Raw genomic sequence first — 19,506 nt, 5'->3', positions numbered from 1 at the left:
GACCAGTCTAGCCAACATGGCAAAACCCCATTTCTACTAAAAATACAAAAATTAGCTGGGTGTGGTGGCACACGCCTGTAGTCCCAGCTACTTGGGAGGCTGGGGCATGAGAATTGCTTGAATCCAGGAGGTGTAGGTTGCAGTGAGCCAAGATCATGCCACTGCACTCCAGCCTGGGTGACAGAGCAAATCCCTGTCTCAAAGAAAAGAAAAGAAAAAAAAAGGCATCATAAAGATCTTCATAGACTGTAGAAACTGGAAGCAACAGAAATGACAGGAAAACAGTCATCTTTCTTCTATAGATAAAACTAAAGATTTCAGTTCCCTTCATAACATTTAGTCAAATATTGTGAAAACGTACACATCCTTTCCTGGCATTGACACATCAACCTAATTAATTTCCTGAAAACATAAGCAAGGTATGCAAGTATCAGCAGCTGAGATAAATCTGTCAAATAACCAGACAAATTAAACATGAAAACTACATTCAGATGTATGCCCCTCACTGGCCAGGCACAGTGGCTCACGCTTGTAATCCCAGCACTTTGGAAGCCAAGGTAGGTGGATCACCTGAGGTCAGGAGTTCGAGACCAACCCGGCCAACATGGTGAAACCCCGTCTCTACTAAAAATACAAAAAATTAGTCAGGCGTGGTGGCGGGCGCCTGTAATCCAGCTACTCTGGAGGCTGAGGCAAGAGAGTCGCTTGACCCCAGGAGGTGGAGGTTGTGGTGAGCAGAGATCACGCCACTGCACTCCAGCCTGGGCGACAGAGCAAGACTCCGTCTCAAAACAACAACAACAAACACTTAGAATTTTACCTTAGACTGCCACCTCATTTCTGATGCTTAAGTGTGGTGTTCTGAGCACCCTTGCTCTGAAGAAAGTCTCAAGCAGTTGAGCTCTAATGTCACTGGTGATTTGTTTGGTTCTAGCGTATCTTACTATTTTTTGTTTTGGAGACAGGGTCTCGCTCATTTGTCCAGGCTGGAGTACAGTGGTATGATCGCAACTTGCTGTAGCTTCGAACTCTTGGCCTCAAGCAGGCCTCCTGCCTCAGCTTCCCAAGTAGCTAGGATTACAGGGGGATGCCACCACACTTGGTTCTTATTTTTAAAGAGAAGATAAAATCTGGGCCAGGTGCAGTGTCTCATGCTTGTAATCCAAGCACTTTGGGAGGCCGGGGTGGGAGGACTGCTTGAGGCCAGAAGTTTCAGACCAGCCTGGTCAACATAGTGAGACTCCATCTCTACAAAAATTTTAAAAACTATCCGAATGTGGTGGTGTACACCCGTTGTCTTAGCTACTTGGGAAGCTGAGGCAGGAAGATCCTTGAGCCCAGGAGGTGAGCTGTGATCCTGACACTGCATTTCCACCTGGGCGACAGAGTGAGACTGTCTCTCTTAAAAAATTTTAAACAATTGGCCTGGCATGGTGGCTCATGCCTATAATCCCAGCAGTTTGGGAGGCCAAGGTGGGCGGATAATGAGGTCAGGAGTTCAAGACCAGCCTGACCAACATGGTGAAATCCTGTCTCTACAAAAAATACAAAAAATTAGCCAGGCGTGGTGGCATGTGCCTGTAATCCCAGCTACTCAGGAGGCTGAGACAGGAGAATCGCTTGAACCCGGGAGGTGGAGGTAGCAGTGAGCCGAGATCGCGCCACTGCACTCCAGCCTGAGTGACAGAACGAGACTCCATCTCAAAAAAAAAAAAAAAGAAAGAAAAGAAAGAAAAAAATTTAAACAATTAAAAATTATTTGCAGACTGAAACTGGCCTGCCAACTTGCAACTTCTGGTATTAGTCCAACAACTTTAATTATAAAATGAAGAGCTATACCTGAAATTATGCAGTTAAAGAGGGTTGAGAGCTGATTTCCAAAATCTTAGTCCAGTGTTTTCTTGCATCGCATACCGGGGCTGTTTATCCACTTTTGGGCCTGTAAAGATTCCTCCAGTTCATTTTGGTTCCTTTTTTTCCTACATATTCTTAATTCTTTCACCTCCTGGCAAAGTTTGGAAGCCTAGCGTCGTCTCCCCATTTTCACTCCACTCACTGTCTTTTATTTAAGAAGGTGAAAAATGGGTGGGGTAGAGGGGAGGTAGGCAGTCTTTGAAAAACCCGAGCTCCAGCCACATGCCCAGCACTGGAAACATTCTATGCATTGTCTCATTTAATGCTCCAACAGTTCTACTTTCTCCTTTCACACTGGAGGAAACTGAGATTTAGAAGCATCAAGGAACTTGCTCAGAGTGTCACATAATCAAGGTTTGAACCCAGGACTTCATGACTAAAGCTTAAGTGCCTTCCACTGTATCACATGGGTCTCGTTCCCTAGTCTGAAGAGCTGTAATGATGACCACACAAGAGAAAGTTTAAGAGCAAAGCTTTTCTTTTTATTGCAGTTATTAGTGAAAGTTATACTTCAAACTGAAGCTAAGCAACACTAAAACCATTAATATTTTTAAAATCAAGGATTAAAAACAAATACAACATAGAACTCTCCAGTAGGCAGAATGGCAGAAAAAAGAGTAGTGGTTCTGTCACAGAACATTTCGTGACAGTTTGGCTCAGAAAGAATCATGACAATTTCTTTTGTTGTTGTTGTTATTTGCCTCCCAACAGGAAACAATGACACTTTCTTTAACACAAAATATTATATGAGCTGCTTAAAAACCAGCTTCTTCAAGCTTCTCAGTCTCACTCATAACTTGTTCGTAGTATAATAATTTCTGTGGGGAAGATAGTTTAACTGAAGTATAATATTTTTTGTGGGGAAGATAGTTTAACTGAAAAAGAAAATATATTACCAAATTTTAAATACTGAAAACAAGGACTTTTGTTCAAAAACTTTATTTGCCTTCTGCTCATTATAATTACATATAATCTTCAAGGAGTTTAAATGACAACCAAATCCAAGGCCTGGCCCCCAAGAACACAGTGATAGGATTCAGCATTTGGTGTTTCTAATTATACAATGACTACATATATATCATAGACTTGCTCTCATCCATTCTCCACCATAAAGTTTCAATTTCCTCTTAAAATATGGCAGTCAAGTTTAGTCTCATTCAAAATCTTATCTGGTCCTACAGCATATTACAGACTTAGACTCACTCTTCTGTTTTAATTGATGTTACTGTGTAGCCGAAGATTTTAAAAAAAGATTTATAGATATACACTTGAAATTCTGCAGTCTTGAAATACTACAATAAATTTTTCTTACTTATGAAAAGCCAACAACAACAAAAAAGGCCAGGCCAGGCATAAGACAGAGGGGAAGGGAAGATGAGGAGGGAGGTTTGAGAGTCCCATCATTTTGCCTTGCTGAAACTGGGTTTCAGTAGAAATATTTGGCAAGAATAGTGTGGAAAAGGAGGATGGAGAAAGAGGTTACTCTGATTTTATGTAATAATTCAGTTTCAAAACATACTGATATCAACCTCCAAAAATAGTAGTTCACATCTGCAATACAAATAGGCACACACGGTAAAGATGGTTAAAAAGTAGAATTTAAAAGGCTATTTGTCCATCTTCAGGACATTTTGCAGGCGGCCCCACCCTCCCCACATGTCCTGTATTTACATTTTACTCTTCAGAAAAGCCCCTTTTAAAAGAATGCTATTTCTTCCTCCATTACTTAGGGTTTTTTTTGTTTTGTATTGTTTTGTTTTGTTTTGTTTTTAGCAGCAATTATCTAGTGGGAGCAGTTAGCTACGCTTTAGGGGTGTATGTTTGTATGTGCATTGTGTATAACAGAAGTGTTCTCTAGAGTGAGCAGTCAGATTACACTGCAATGGTCATATTACCATTGAGTCCCCCAAACACTAAAGAAAGACATTATTTTTTTCTATATAAACTTAATACGCAGAGTTATAAACATAAAATATTGATATAGACACACATACGCACACCACTGCTTCCCAAAGCCTATGAATGCATCCACGTACTAGTCCACAAGAATGATCTTTATTCACAAGATATAGGAATACTTTTATGGGTCCATAACTGAAAAGAGACATTAAAGCTACACATTACAGCAAAAATAGTTTAAAATTATTCCTGATATATCAGCGTTAGCTATCTCACTGCACAAGGTGGATTTTTTGTTCATTTTTCATTTTTCAAACATGAATCTCCCCAACTTTTCATCTTCAGTACTTGAAATTCTCATTGAAATTAATGCAGATGCCAGCTTTGTTAGCAATGAGTTGGAAAAGCCCAACTGCCTGCAACAAGGGGAGGTTGGCATCTGTGGAGATAAAAGTAAATGTTGAATGCGTCCATACCCTGTGTACCTAAAATGCATCCTTTTTTCTTTTTTTAAAAAAAATCTTGTCTGTTGCAACAAAGAATTGTTTACACTCCCTGCAGTGGTGTGCCCTTTGTAATTTCCTAGAAACAGAATCTCTTCCCCCCATGGAAATGCATAAGCCTGTTGAAATGTAAGGACCTGCCACGATCTATAAAGGTAACTGCATCAGACACCTGATATGACCTGCAGGTGCTCAGAATTGAATTCACATGAAGCAGAAACTTTCACTATATTTTAACCTTTATAGGTACATGATGATTGGAATTTTTAAAGTAAAGCAAAGTTAAATTCTGCAAAGACATGAGTGAAATAAGCACACTTTCTTTCTTAAAATCTAACCCTCTTCTTCAAAGAAAGGTACCAAAAATCGGCCAAGAAACAGGGAATAACCATCTAGTTGTACAATAGCCTCTGATGCTAACATGTAGCAAAAGTGCCTGAAGGCAAAGGCGAAGTTAATTTCTAAGTATTTGTATTTTATTATTATTATTTTTTTTTTTATTGAGACAGAGCTTCGCTTTGTTGCCCAGGCTGGAGTGCAGTGGCACAATCTTGGCTCACTGCAACCTCTGCCACCTGGGTCCAAGCAATTCTCCCACCTTAGCCTCCCGAGTAGCTGGGATTACAGGCACCCTCCATCGTGCCCAGCTAATTTTTGTATCTTTAGTAGAGACGGGGTTTTGCCATGTTGGCCAGGCTGGTCTCGAACTCCTGACCTCAAGTGATCCACCTACCTCGGCCTCCCAAAGTGCTGGGATTACAGGCATGAGCCACCGCACCCAGTCAATTTCTAAGTATTTGATGGTTTTCACCACATTAATCTAACTCAAAACTGCAGCTGCCATAGCACCACTAAAATCATTTGGTTTTTGAAAAGTTATGCTTTTGCCAAGGATTATTATAAAGAAAAATTCAGCCTGTGTGCTGGATATCTTGCAGGGAAGAAACAACAGGATATGTTTGTAAGTGAACACTACACCATGATAAGGCCTATGTTTCTCTTATTCCTATTTCATAAAATGATCTACAACAAAGACATTTTCACAGAGGCAAACTGGAAAGGAATCCTTCACACAACACTCTTCTATTATCTTGAACGTCTGAATAGCTTTTCCTTTGGAGAACTCAAATGCTTCCGCAAACATTATCTTATTCTTACAACAATTTAGTGATCATGCCTATAATCCCAGCACTTTGGGTGGCTGAGGCAGGAGGACTGCTTGAGCTCAGGAGTTAGAGATCAGCCTTGGCAACATGTGAGACCCCATCTCTGCAATAAAAGAAAATAATTAGCTGGGTGTGGTGGCATGTACCTCTAGTCCCAGCTACTTGGGAGGCTGAAGCAGGAGGATAGTTTGGGCCCAGGAGTTGGAGGCTGTAGTGAGCTATGATCACACTACTGTAGTTCAGCCTGGGCAACAGAGTGAGACCCTGACTCAGAACAAAAGAACTCCAACAATTTAGTGAGGTAGGTGAGGACAGGTATTACCACTCTTATTTACAAGGGGAAACTAGGCACACAGAGATTAAACGAATTGCCTAAGGACACGGAGCAAATCAGTGGGAGACCTATTACTAAATTCCAAGTCTCTGGCTCATATTCTAGAGCCCTTTCTACTCTCAAAGGCAATAAATTCTCAATAGGCTTTTTCCATTTGTGATCTTTCAAAAGTTCCTCCATTAAAGAACACCTTAAGCCTTCTCTCTTATAGCCCACGCTTGACTAGGAACTGGGATGAGTTTTAAACTATTTTTACACAATATTTTGCACATATCAAGAAGGCAGATGTGAGACATAAGCTGTATAATAAAGTCAGAATAAATACATAAATTAAGAGAAATGAACAGGTTAAGTATTAATTCATTCAATATAATTTTTTACATATTTTAGAAGCCATGTATCAGAATAAAAGTCATAACATTTTAAAGTTTAAATCAGAGTCCAATTTATCAAAACCATAAGCTATATTAATTTTCTTTAAGAATATGAGGATCTCTGTTGGTTGGCAGAAGGTTAGAATATTACTTTCAAGAATAATTCTTATTTATTTATTTATTTTAAAGATTGGGGTCTTGCTGTATTGCCCAGGCTTGCTTTAAACTCCTGGGCTCAACTATCCTCCTGCCTCATCCTCCTGAGAAGTTCGGACTACAGGTGCAAACCACCACATCTGGCTAATATCAACAATAATATTATCACTGTGCCATAATACATCATATTCCTGATATATACTCTGTTCACATTAGCATTCTATAGCCAGCAAAAAATTCCATGGCTAGAGATAATACTTGCAACATTAATACTTTCAATCTTAATTCTCACTTAACTGAGTTAGAATTTCTCTTCATATATGTTAAAGTTACATTGTAATAATCATCATTCTATCTATTTTTGTTTTATCCTTCCCCTCTTTTATTTTTAACAGTGTGTGTGTTTGTGTGTGAGTGTGTGTGATGGGGAAAAAAGAACAATTGTGTGATTCACAAATGGCATAAAACACTGATTGTATTACAAATAAGAATGGTGGCACTCTAGTAAGTAAGATAATGGAATGTCAAAGGAAACAAACTTTAGAATACAAACATGGAAAACATGCTAAAATATTAATCAAGCTATAGCTTGTGGCATGTGATTCTTCTTTCCCAAGTATTTTGAGAGTGTCATTTACCCCCAGTAGAATTCTATATCAACTGCCTCTAAGTCCTTTTCCTATTCCTTCTTTTTTTTTTTTTTGAGACGGAGTCTCACTCTGCCACCCAGGCTGGAGTGCAATGGTGGGATCTCGGCTCACTGCAACCTCCGCCTCCTGGGTTCCAGACTACCTTGTCTGGAAAGGCCCTGCTTGGTGTTTTCTATTTAAAGGGGAAAACCAAACATGTTATGTTGATAGCAATGCCTGGCTCTATTAAAGATAAATCCTTCATTTAATTTCCTTATTGTAATTCAGACTAGCAGGATTCTCCTGCCTCAGCCTCAGGCGCCTGCCACCACGCCTAGCTAATTTTGTATTTTTAGTAGAGACAGGGTTTCACCATATTGGCCACGCTGGTCTCAAACTCCTGACCTTGTGATCCACCTGCCTTGGCCTCCCAAAGTGCTGGGATTGCAGGCATGAGCCACTGCTCCCGGCCTATTCTTTCTTTTTTAAAGAGGGAATGGGGTTGGACCCTGGGCTAAGAAATGAGAAAGCTCCTGGAAAACCTTAATTGCAATTAATTACTATAGAAGATCAAGTCTGTTGCTAGCAAAACCAAAGCTTCCTTTTGTTAAACTCCCTGGGATCAAACTGTATCCATGAACTGGGTCGGACTGTCTATGCCAAAATTCTTTCTTCATTACAAACTAACCAGTGTTTTTACCAAATCCCACACCAAAACCATTTTCTTTACAGGAAAGACTACATTGTCTGGAAAGGCCCTGCTTGGTGTTTTCTATTTAAAGGGGAAAACCAAAGACACTATGTTGATAGCAATGCCTGGCCCTATTTAAGGATAAAGACTTCATTTAATTTCTTTACTGTAATTCAGAAGCAACTTCCAAGACTTCTCTAAGTTACTGAGAATAGGTGTGCCTTTGGGTCTGGGACAACATTATCATATAAATTTAGATTACAGAGACGCTCGTCTTAGGTCTCTTCTGTAGGTTCAAATAGCAATAGCTGCTCTTTTACTCTGCAAATATTAAACAATTGTAAGGTTTCTGTCCAAGGATCCCAGCAAGGAAGCCTTATCCTAAATCCCCCCTCACTATATATTCTCACAATCCTACTAGTCTATTTCTTTACAAAGACCTCCAGTTTCTACAGATTCTGACAATAAAGAGTCACGTATGCAACATTTTTGCAGTCTTTCCTTCTTTGGTTCTAAAAAGACTATTAAAGGACTAACTTAAGAGATTTTTGTTTGTTTTCCCAACCAAAAATGAAATAAAGATGAAATAAAGCCATGAAATAAAGATGAAAGTTTTGTCTTTTATTTTTAAAATTATTATTATTTTTTGAGACGGAGTTTCACTCTTGTCGCCCAGGCTGGAGTGCAGTGGCATGATCTCGGCTCACTGCAACCTCCGCCTACCGGGTTCAAACGATTCTCTCGCCTCAGCCTCCCGAGTAGCTGGGATTACAGGCGCCCACCACCATGCCTGGCTAATTTTTGTATTTTTAGTAGAGACGGGTTTTGCCATGTTGTCCAGGCTGGTCTCGAACTCCTGACCTCAGGTAATCAGCCTGCCTCGGCCTCCCGAAGTGCTGGGATTACAGGTGTGAGCCACCGTGCCCGGCCAAGATGAAAGTTTTAGGCACTAAATATCAGAGTAATCTCCCTCTCTAGTCTCTGGTGTTGCCTCTTCAACATCAAACATAAAATTATAGATAGCATACCGCCAATTTTTGGAAAGAATAAAATTTAAAAAGCAAGGCTCTAATGACCAACACTTCCATCTGTTTTCTACGCATAACGCTGTTCATGGCAATTCTTTTTTGGGATGATCTATTACTGCACAACGATTTTTTTTTTTTTTTGAGACAGAGTCTCACTCTGTTGCCCAGGCTGGAGTGCAGTGGCACGATCTTGGCTCACTGCATCCTCCGCCACCACACCCGGCTAATTTTTGTATTTTTAGAAGAGACAGGGTTTTGCCATGTTGGCCAGGCTGGTCTTGAACTCCTGACCTCAGGTGATCTGCTCACCTCAGCTGCCCAAAGTGTTGGGATTACAGGTGTGAGCCACTGCACCTGGCCACAAAGCTTTCTTTCTAAAGAGGTGAACTAAACATGAACAAGCCATCAAGTACTTCACTGCGGTCAAGCTGTACTGATGTCAGGTAGCAGGATTTGTGGAGCCAACCAGTTAAAACAGCAAAATAAGCTCTATATGCCAGGTTTCTATGAACTTTCAGAAGGAAAAAGAAAACACAGGACCAGAGGCACCTTTTTTTGTTTGTATGTTTGTTTTGAGATGGAGTCTTGCTCTGTTGCCAGGCTGGAGTGCAGCGGTGCAATCTTGGCTCACTGCAACCTCCGCCTCCCAGGTTCAAGTGATTCTCCTGCCTCAGCCTCCCAAGTAGCTGGGACTACAGGCGTGTGCCACCACACCCAGCTAATTTTTGTATTTTTAGTAGAGATGGGGTTTCAGCATGTTGGCCAGGATGGTCTCCATCTCTTGACCTCGTGATCCGCCCACCTCGGCCTCCCAAAGTGCAGGGATTACAGGCGTGAGCCACCATGCCCAGCCCAGAGGCAACTTTTAAAATGTTGGTTTTCAGGAACTACATGTCTGCTAACCTTGGACATGTTGAAATGTAATGAATACAACTATTAAGGTTATAAGCGCAATAAATATCCTTAAAAGGGGACATACAATCACAGCAAAAATATTTTGCTTTTTTTTTTTTTGAGACGGAGTCTTGCTCTGTCGCCCAGGCTGGAGTGCAGTGGTGTGATCTTGGCTCACTGCAACCTCCGCCTCCTGGGTTCAAGCCATTCTCCTGCCTCGGCCTTCCCAGTAGCTGGGATTACAGGCACGTACCGCCAAGCCCAGCTAATTTTTGTAATTTTAGTAGAGACAGGGTTTCACCATATTGGGCAGGCTGGTCTCCAACTCCTGACCTCGTGATCCGCCCGCCTCAGCCGCCCACCCAAAGTGCTGGGATTACAGGTGTGAGCTACCACGCCCAGCCACATTAATTTGCTTTTAATTAGTAGTAACAAATTCTTATAATCAGAGTACAAATCTGTACTATCTGTATACAATTAGTACTTGATGTGTGCGGGGCTGAAGTATCTCAGAATAGTATATCATAGGGCAAACTAATGTAACTGGCAAAAATGCAAAAAGAAATGAAATGGCTAATCTCTACAAGAAATCACATGCTGATCTATTTTAAACTGTAAAACTTTACATCATATAAAAATAAAATTTTCCCATTTATAATTACCTGACACTTTCCCATTTCCTTGCCTCTCAGTGGAATACACTACAGTAAAATGTCATACATTGAGCTCCAATAATTTAGAATTGAAAACCCAGAGGATGGAATACAGTTTATCTTTTAACCACTTACAGAAAAGAAATTTCTTAACAAGCAAATTCATGATGTAAAAATACAATGCAAGTATTTTACCTGCTTAAGGGAATATACTTTTTTCATGTACTTTTATTTATTTTTATTTTTATTTTCTGAGATGGAGTTTCACTCTTGTTGCCCAGGCTGGAGTGCAATGGCGCGATCTTGGCTCACTGCAACCTCCGCCTCCCGAGTTCAAGTGATTCTCCTGCCTCAGCCTCCCGAGTAGCTGGGATTACAGGCATGTGCCACCATGCCCAGCTAATTTTTGTATGTTTAGTAGAGACGGGGTTTCGCCATGTTGGCCAGGCTGGTCACGAACCCCTGACCTCAGGTGGTCTGCCTGCCTCGGCCTCCCAAATTGCTGGGATTACAGGCGTTAGCCACTGCGCCCAGCCCATGTACTTTTATTTTAAAAGTTAACATACCAATATCCATAATCTTGATCTTGGCCAGATGCAGTGGCTCATGGCTGTAATCCCAGCACTTTGGGAGGCTGATGTGGGAGAAGCACTTGAGCTTAGGAGTTCAAGACCAGCCTGGGCAGTATAGTGACCCCCATCTCTAAAGAAAAAAACCATTAGCTGGGCATGGTGGCGCATGTGAGTAGTCCCAGCTACTTCAGAGGCTGAGGTGGGAGGATAGCCTGAGCCCAGGAGTTTGAAGTTATAGTGAACTATGATAGTGCCACAAAACAAAACAAATAATCTTGACCTATTCACTAGGAAACTGGACTGTCTATATATAATTGAACTTAATATTCTATAATCATGCTTTTTGCTGCCTTCCAATTTATTCACATTCATAAATTATTACTATTTAAATTTTTAATTAGCTGAAGTACTCTATTAATCAGTCTTTATACCTGGCTCTCCCTAGCCACTTAAACTCTGATTTCTTCATTGATACTCAGGGATTCAATCAACTTTAGAAGTATGCTAGGGAAAAGATCAGGGTAGCAAATCTTCCATATAACAAATTATGGGGGAAAAGTTTCATTTCAAAGTCAATTCAATGAATTTTGAATCATTTGCTATTTGTTTTCCAGGCCTACAAAAATGGTATCTTAATCCTAATGCTGAAAAATGTGACCATTTAAGCAGTTTCAATGTGCTTAAATTTAAAAAAAAAAGGCATGTAACAATTATTTATTTGACAGGTTTCCCCAAAACTGTAGTCAGGTAAAATAAATCCAATCTGTTATGTTAGTTTGCTACTAAAGGGGAAAAAAAGGATCAAACTTACAGGAAAGCCCCACCTCCCCTCCACATGTAGAAATCTGTCTAAAGACTGTCTTTAATGCCCACTATATAAACAACATTAAATATTCTAAGTTACAAAATAGTGTTAATGGTTTATTGGTAAAAATCCAAACTCTAGAGTTTATGGAATTCGTAGTTTGGTTGGTATATTAACACTCCATCTTAATCTTTGCTGCTATTACAAAGAATGAGGAAAGCTAGAAATATCTATAAAAATAAAATACCTTAAAACCGACAAGCAAAATATAAAAGTTGCATACAAATTGCCAATAAATATAAACATCACAATAGAAAAATTAATCTTAACAAAAATAAACTCATAATTGCTATTAAGACATTATAAAAACAAAAAAGTTTAATGTGCATGTATATTTGCAAACAGACACAGTACACTCCAAACAATATAATTTTACTATCATTATTATATAATGCAGCATACAAGGTTACTGAGGTGTGGTATTTTTTGTTGTTGTTGTTGTTTGCTTTTAGTCTTCTTTTCTGGAAGAATGCTCACCAAATTCACAGGAAAGAAGTGCCTAGGTGATCATTTACTGCTATTTACTGCTTCCTGGTATGGAGCAAAATTGCCCTCTGGTAGGTAACTACATTTCTAATTAGTATGAAAGGTTCTACTATTTTCCTTTCTTTTGCTTATTTCCCCTTAAGCACAATTTGCAGACCCTACTTCTATTTAACTGATCATACCCTTTTAAATGCCTTGTCATCATTTTTCATAGTTCCTGCATCCTAGAAAAAATAAAAAATCATTTAAAATATTCCTTGGTGTCTAGAAAAGAAAATTTCTCTAACAATAGAGATTATCATTTTGCTTTCTCACTTAAGCTGATCTGAATGATGATTTGGTACTGCCTTTATGAGCAGTCCTCCTTAATAATGACTAATTAGGGCCGGGTGTGGTGGTGCATGCCTGTAATCCCAGCTACTTGGGAGGCTGAGGCACGAGAATCACTTGAACCCGGGAGGCGGAGTTTGCAGTAAGCTGAGATTGAGCCACTGCACTCCAGCCTAGGTGACAGAGCAAGACTTTGTCTCAAAAAAAAAAAAAAAAAAAAAGATTAATTAGAAAATGTTGCCTATGATTCCAGGCAAGTTACATTTCCCTTTGGACATTGGTACTATACCCATAATCTTGTTAAAAAGTTAAGTAGGTTTGCTGTTTTATGTGCATTATGGATTTCCTCCAACACAGTTGGGAATTAAAAGAGGTAATTCTACTAAATATTTTGTTTTCAAATTTACAAAATAAATTTGGTGAGCATTTACCTAGATACTTTACTGCATAAAAGCTTTCCTTGGTTCCCTTGGACGAGATTCAAGACAACAACTAACATTATTTTTATGAAACTGTCACACTCTTGGAGTTCTAAAATAATTTATCTTTAAAATTCTTAGCTTCGTGCTACTTGAAAAATAAAAATCTACAGCACCATCTTCTGAAAAGGCACTTTCTAAGAACCGCCTTGCTTTAAAAAATGATTAAAAAATTTAACTCAAGAGTCTACGCCCTGACAAACGTCTTTGCTTTACTGAGACCCTAACATAGATACATTAGATTCTGGTTACCTTAGAAATTAGTCTAAAAAAGGAAGGGACCCCGATGGCTGGATAGGTGATTTGACAGGATTCTAATTTTGTCACACCATTTACCTGATACTTCAACAGGGTTTCTCACTGGTAAATCTCAACCCTCTATATTGAATTTACCATCCTTCTATCTTTAATTCAAATTAAAATCTTTAACTTCCATATTTTAAGAACAAAAGATTCTTGAGATTTAATCAATGATGTAAACATCTGGAGTACTAGTTTTGATGGGTAAAGTAATATAAATTTCAATGAGTAGTAGGTAATATTAGCACAAGCCTTGACCATTATACCTTAGTTTAAAAAATTATGTTGACTGACATGGAAAATTATAAACTTAAATGTACCATTTTAAAAGTAGGAAAAAAGTCAAAATAATTTTTCCCTTTGTGTGTGTGTGTGAGATTATATATATACACACTCATACATATACACACACACACACTCCCCCTCCCTGCTTCCTGGGACTCAGCTTGGCTTTCACTAATCACAGTGTCATTTCTAACACTGCAACGGATCAAGAATGTTCTTAGTATAAGCAGGACTTTTTTAAAAAGATTTTTTGGAGAAAATTCTCACTTTCTGATTTCTGTGCTGACTGACTTACCTACTCTTGGCTGATTTTTTGACTCCTATAGAATCACAAAAGTGCTTTTCTATGATCAAATATGAGGACTGAAATAGGAAAACAAGAGTTCTAAATTAGGGTTATACTGCTACACAGGAAGGCGTTACTTGATGTCAAACCTCCCAACAATTCTTACTGAAGCTTTAAGACATTTATGAATTCTCAAAAAGAATGAAAATAATGAATACTTCATATGGATAAAGCCAAAATAAAGACGCCACACTAATGATATTTTTGCAGCTTGACTAACTAATAAAAGGTAATTTAAGTAGCAAGTTACTGTTAAGGGCAACCTGCCTGTTCAACAGAAGAACATCTAAGAGGATAAGCTAAGCAAACATTTAACTCAGGTTTAATGATACTGAATGAAAATTTTGCAGAGTTGTCAGTTAAACTTCTTGGTAAAAATATTAAAATCAAGTTTGAAATAGGAAGACTGCAACATATTCTAGCTGTATCGAAGTCGTTTGCTTCTTGAATTTCATAAAAATCACTGCCCTTGGCAAATTCATGTAGGGCTCTAAACAGATCCATCAAGTTCCTTGAGTCACAAACGGTCTCTAATTCCTGGTCTGCAATCCATCTAAATACTTCGGATCCATCACTGGCATGCTTAGCGCTCACCCTTTCCTTGAACACAGAGATCCGCTGCCAGTCATTCCTGCTGAAGGGCAAGTCAGGTTTTATTTCCCTAGACATGCCTTCAGTCTTTCATGACTCTGTCAGAAGGCCTATCCTCCTAAAATCCATTAGAGAATACACAAGCAAACACTAGGCAGTGGTGGGCTGTGGAGAAGCTAGCTTGGAAACTGGTCTAGATCTTTAGAAGGCTGAGAATCCCTGTGCTGGAAAGCAGAGATGCCTCTATCAAGTGCCTTCCAAAACACTCAGTAATTCCTACTAGAATCCCTGCTAGACTCTCTTCTAGGAATAGAAATATATTAATAGGTTATAAACAGGGATTTCCCTTAGAATGATAGTTTTTCCAAGAAACTTGTTAGAAGATCACTATTAAGAAAAAGAAAGGGAATCTAATATTTCTGTTGAAATGTGCCAAAAAACCAGTACTGAAGAGGCTGAGGTACCCTTTTTCAAACTGTAAAAGTCAAAATCTACATTTCTAAAACAAAGAATATCCTGATATTAAATTGAAACTAAAATGGCAGCACCCTTTGTTACTTTGATATTCCGTGTCCTTACTCTTAGGAAAAAAAAGGGTCTAACACTAGCCTTGAATCCTGCTTATCTCCTTACTGTTTAGTGCAGTAACTGTCAGAATCTACTTAAATAAATATAGCAGCTACAATATTGTAAGTGTATGGTCCTCCATGCCAGTAACCTGATACTGTGATATAATACATGTATCAGCACTTTATGTAGACACATTAACCATCAAGAATATACATTAAACTCCCAACTCTTCTTCATATGAAAATCAATTATCTAGTTGCCAGACTGATATTTTACAGTCAGTCTCGTAAGATACATCACAGAAAAAAGAAGACCAAAATCTAGCATTCATGATATAGTTAGTGAGCAAGGGCAGGAGCAGAAGGGTCACTGTGAATTTCATGTTTAACTTAAAAAAAAAAACTTTTTTAAAATAAAAAAGATTAGAAATTCTACACCAGAAATGCAACAATAAATAGGACAAATTTCAAGAAGCATTTGTCACTTAGCCTTTTATCTTAAAATTCTAAGCACAAGTTTTCTTGTAATTAAGAACCAATGGTAATTAATATACCAATTTGTTAGCAAAATAGAAATATAGTATACATACTCTTTCAAGTTAATCAACTTTAAACTAGCAATGCTGACTAGTGTAAGAGCACTCTAAAAAAGAAATCACTCAAAAGGTAAAGCTTTATAATTTAGAAAAAATATTTTTCCTCTTAAAAAAGTCCTTCCAAATAGATTTAAATTAAGGGCTCCACTCTAGCATATATGAGTGACTGAAAATTAGGTGAGAGAGTACATAGAGAAAGGGTATCTACAGTCATTCCCTAAAGTTTCCCACATGAATCTGTGCAGCTCCCATGATAAAGGAAGATGTTTTACTCACACTGATCAAGCATAGACGAATTAAATTTTTATCATCTTGGGTATACTATTTTCTTCTCTTGCCCATGATCCTGACTATATTCAGTAAAATTTCAGTGTAAAAAAATCCATCTTTATAGGAAATTTTTCTGGAGGAGATGGGAGAAGGCTGGGAGAAAAAATGTATATACGATACAAATATTACCTTTTGTAAAGTTCTTTGCAACAGTGTTGTAAATTGCATTTCAGACACTTCAAAATAATAAACATACAAAATACAGTACTTTCTTAGTTTTCTGGCAGAGGGACAAAAGATTTCATGCCTGTCAGAGGACATGGGCTCAGATTTTAGGCTCAAAATACAGTGAATTGGCAATAATAGTGGATTACAGGTAAGAGAGAAACTAAAGATCTAAATCCATTAGGTTTCACGTGCAGATGGAATTCTGAAAGGCTAACAACAATGCCCACTGGAAACAATCTGTAGTATCTATACTCTGAACCAGTGCAAAAAAAAAAAAAATCAAAATGCAATTTTCATGAGTTACAAAGTGCAAAGCTCCCCTGAATCCAATGTTACTGATAAACTCAGTTTTGATAGCTTTATAGTACTTTTTAATACCTTAAAGTGTAATCAATAAAAGTTTTGTAAAACAATTTCCCACGTTTCAGTGATTTAACTGATTTAAAATGATCAAAGTCCTAACTTCCTTTGTTACTATCACCTTAATTTTAAAAGGAAAGTTATACTGGTGATACATTAGCAAAAGTTTTAAAATATCATCTTGCATTTTCCTGATTCATTTTAGTAAATGAAAATGGGCATCTAGCCAATATGATTCTTCAATAAACACAATCTATTTGCAAATAATTTAAATATGTTAAGCTATTCACAATTATATAAAAGTTCAACTTTATTTCTAATATTCAAGTTGGACTCATTTAGGCAATTTCACTTCATTTTCATTATGATTTTTTTTTCTTTTGAGACGGAGTTTTGGTTTTGTTGCCCAGGCTGGAGTGCAATGGTGCAGTCTTGGCTCACTGTAACTTCCGCCTCCTAGGTTCAAGCAATCCTGCCTCAGCCTCCCGAGTAGCTGGGATTAGAGGTGCCCACTACCACGCCCAGCTAATTTTTGTATTTTTAGTAGAGACGGGGTTTCACCACGTTGGCCAGGCTGGTCTCAAACTCCTGAGCTCCGGTGATATACCTGTCTCAGCCTCCCAAAGTGCTAGGATTACAGGCATGAGCCACCGCGTCCAGCCTTTTATCATGATGAATTTTAAAAGATATGCTTTAAAACTGAAAATTACAAAACTTTCCTTCTGAAATTAAGGCTGTATTCTTTGCCCTTTTAAACTATGGAGGTGCCTGTTCCTCCTACTATCCATGGTAAAGATGCAGACACAACTTTCCTTTAAAACTGCTTATTGCACTAAAAGATAGCAAAAACAAGTTGTCAGTTCTTAAAATAAACATGATTATATTTCTATAAAAGATGCTGCCAATACAATTCTATAATTATTAAAGCACTATTCTAATAAATATAAAAGAAAAGGAAGCTATACTTCCAAACACATACATATGTGTTTATATACACACACATACATATATATATATAAAAAATATATGAAAATCACATTAAGGTATGAGAGGCAGCAAGTAAACTATCAAAAAACAAAACAAAAAAATCCCTCAACAAACTCTTCTCTCTACTCAATTTCAGAGGTCTCAACCCTACAGAGCTCTAATCTTTTAAAATATTTACCCTTTATAAAACCTTTAAAGAATTTCCATGTATAACCCATAGAAACAGAAGGCTTCAGAATACACATCACTTACCAGAGAGAAAGTTACAACTTCTGACAGGTTTTATATTTATAGCAGCTTTAACAAACTCACTAAAGAAAAAGAATAGTAGGCCGGGTGCGGTGGCTCATGCCTGTAATCCCAGCACTTTGGGAGGTCGAGGCGGGTGGATCACAAGGTCAAGAGATCGAGACCATCCTGGCCAACACGGTGAAACCCCGTCTCTACTAAAAATACAAAAATTAGCTGGGTGTGGTGGCACATGCCTGTAAACCCAGCTACTCGGGAGGCTGAGGCAGGAGAATTGCTTGAACCCGAGAGGCGGAAGTTGCAGTGAGCCGAGATCTCGCCACTGCACTCCAGCCTGGTGACAGAGCGAGGCTCTGTCTCATTAAAAAAAAAAAAGAAAGAAAAGAAAAAGAAAAAAGAAAAAGAATAGTTCAGGTTGCTACTGCTTATATACAAATTGCGCAAATGGTAAATGTATGTTCTGAGTGGGAGGGGAGAGACGCACTCTCACAGAAAGTTATTTTATGTATATATATGTGTGTGTCTGTGTCTGTGTATGTATGTATACATATATATATAAAATTTTGTTTCTTAAGACAGCAATATCAAGAGTTGAGAACTCAGAATTGTGTATGAGATAGGAGTCAGGAGTAGGGTATGCAAAATAAAAGTAGAATTCTAGTTTGCCATATTTTATATTCAAACGAACCAGATACATCAACATTTGAATGTCACTGGTAGGACTGGGAAAAAAATGTAGGTGATGAAGGCAAGGGAAATAGAGAAATAAAGGCGGTAGTGGGGGTAGAATAAAAGGGAAAGAAAATTCCCCAATGGAATGAACTCTAAAATATATAACAGACACATATATATCTATTATCAATCCAGATCTAGATATATATGCATATGAAGTATGGATGTATATATTTTAAAAATACACAGACACCTTTTACAAGAATATATGAATGCACATTAATTTTTTGCACACATAATTCTGAAAAATCACTTTGATTATTCATGAAGGTGTGTATTTTTTAAACCATCATTTACTTTTTCTTTACTTTTTTTTGCAAAGATAGTTGTGCTGCCAAGCAACTTGAGGTAAAGGCATTAAAAGGGTTAGACTACAAGAAATGAAAACAAAACAATTGCGATACTTCCTATAGGAGACCGCACAAAAAGCAGTTGGCTGGTTTCATATTGCATAATGATGCTGTGTTCCTTGATGAAGTAAACAATCTTCCTTGTATTAACATAAGGATCAGACCTTGGCCCCCACACAGTGTTGGTTTCTGTATGGCTGGAGGTGTCCTTACTCAATTGACTTCACTGGAAACATACGTTGTATGTCAATTCATCTTTCAGTACTTCCTCTCAGAGAATATACTTGGACTATTTAAGCGAAGTACATTGTGCGTAAGGTATCTTGGTGAATCTGTACAGCCTTGGCAAGAGCTTGTGGATCTCGCCCATTGCTTTGTCCTGAAACGTGACTTCCTTCAGCACTGTAAGAGAAGTGGCAATGAACACAAAAACAAACTTTCTATTCTGATGTAATAATTCCGAAAAATACTATTTGTTGTAGAAAATTTCAAAATTATTAACAAATAAGAGACTGGTGTAACAATCTATGTGTCCATCACTCAGCTTCAATCACTATTAACTCAAGGCCAATTTTGTTTTACTTCTCTCACCTCCCCAGAATTAATTAGAAGCAAACCTAGATATCGTATCATTTTGTCTATCTGTCTGAATGTATCACTTTATTACCAA

The 19,506-nt window shown here is 38.1% G+C and overlaps 1 protein-coding gene across 9 annotated transcripts in view; it reads right to left on the bottom strand.

Annotated features, from left to right (window-relative positions):
• Positions 1-2,374: 2,374 nt before the first annotated feature.
• AGO3 (argonaute RISC catalytic component 3) overlaps positions 2,375-19,506 on the bottom strand; it is a 141,783-nt gene continuing 124,651 nt past the window's right edge. For all 9 annotated transcript variants that reach the window (XM_017000523.3, XM_005270575.5, NM_024852.4 and 6 more), the window contains one exon: positions 2,375-19,238. In XM_017000523.3, coding sequence (XP_016856012.1) covers positions 19,130-19,238 — 109 coding nt within the window. In that variant the 3' untranslated portion in view covers positions 2,375-19,129. The remainder of the gene's footprint in view (positions 19,239-19,506) is intronic.

Source organism: Homo sapiens, chromosome 1, assembly GCF_000001405.40.
Source record: "Homo sapiens chromosome 1, GRCh38.p14 Primary Assembly".
Taxonomy (NCBI): domain Eukaryota; kingdom Metazoa; phylum Chordata; class Mammalia; order Primates; family Hominidae; genus Homo; species Homo sapiens.
The sequence above is the reverse complement of the archived record's forward strand: the minus strand, read 5'-3'. Positions and strand labels throughout refer to the sequence as shown.